Here is a 1,269-nt window from a genome sequence, read left to right on the forward strand (position 1 = left end):
TGAAGTAGCCATTCTTTTATTCTTTTACTTTCTTTTTTTTTTTTTTTTTTTTTGAGACGGAGTCTTGCTCCGTCACCCAGGCTGGAGTGCACGGGCACGATCTCGGCTTACTGCAAGCTCTGCCTCCCAGGTTCACGCCATTCTTCTGCCTCAGCCTCCTGAGTAGCTGGGACTACAGGTACCCGCCACCATGCCCGGCTAATTTTTTGTATTTTTAGTAGAGACAGGGTTTCACCATGTTAGCCAGGATGGTCTCGATCTCCTGACCTCATGATCCACCTGCCTCAGCCTCCCAAAGTGTACTTTCTTAATAAACTTGCTTTCACTTTGCACTGCACACTCGCCCTGAATTCTTTCTTGAGCGAGATCCAAGAACCCTCTCTTGGGATCTGGATCGGGACCCCTTTCCTGTAACAACTTTGGACTTGGACTTTTGAGTAAATGCTGGGATGAGTTAAGACTTTGGGGGATTGCTGAGAAGGGATAATTGTATTTTGCAATGTGAGAAAGACATGAGACTTGGGAGGGCCGGGGTGGAATGACACAGTTTGGATTTGTACCCCCACCCAAATCTCATGTTGAATTGGAGGAGGGGCCTCATGGGAGGTGATTGGATCATGGGGGCTGTTCTCGTGATAGTGAGTGAGTTCTCACAAGATCTGATGGTTTAAAAGTGTGTGGCACTTTTCCCTTCACTCTCTGCTGCTCTGCCATGGTAAGATGTGTTTGCTTTCCATTTACCTTCTGCCATGATTGTAAGTTTCCTGAGGCCTCCCACCCATGCTTCCTGTACAGCCTGTGGAACTGTGATTCAATTAAACCTCTTTTCTTCATAATTACCCAGTCTCAGGTAGTTCTTTATAGCAGTCTGAGAATGGATACAACCCTTCTTTACAGGGGAGAGAGAAGATGGGGAATGTAAGCAATTCTTTTGAGGGGCAGTAAATGATTAGGGAGAATGAATAGACAAGGCAGACACATTAACTTGTAAATGATTCTCTTTGCAATTTGAATGAGCAGGAAAGGCAGGCATTATCTTGTGAAAAATTCCATCCAAGCATGATTGCATTCTTCAGTCTTCTTCTCTGCCATAGATCATGATATTTCAGGGATGGGATACAAACTCTTGGTAAGAAGTTTTCTTGGCCAGGCACAGTGGCTCATGCCTGTAATCCTAGCACATTGGGAAGCTGAGGCAGGAGGACTGCTTGAGCCCAGGAGTTTGAGACTAGCCTGGGCAACAGGGGGAGACCCCATCGCCAGTAAAAA

At 46.0% G+C, this 1,269-nt stretch overlaps 1 annotated feature.

Annotated features, from left to right (window-relative positions):
- Positions 739 to 1,269: an enhancer, noted in NCBI's record as "OCT4-NANOG hESC enhancer chr12:48353651-48354181 (GRCh37/hg19 assembly coordinates)". NCBI's record gives its function as "activates a minimal SCP1, AML or CMV promoter by ChIP-STARR-seq in primed H9 embryonic stem cells {active_cell/tissue: H9 hESC(primed)}" and the evidence as "EXISTENCE:reporter gene assay evidence [ECO:0000049][PMID:30033119]".

Source organism: Homo sapiens, chromosome 12 (assembly GCF_000001405.40).
Source record: "Homo sapiens chromosome 12, GRCh38.p14 Primary Assembly".
NCBI classification, from domain to species: domain Eukaryota; kingdom Metazoa; phylum Chordata; class Mammalia; order Primates; family Hominidae; genus Homo; species Homo sapiens.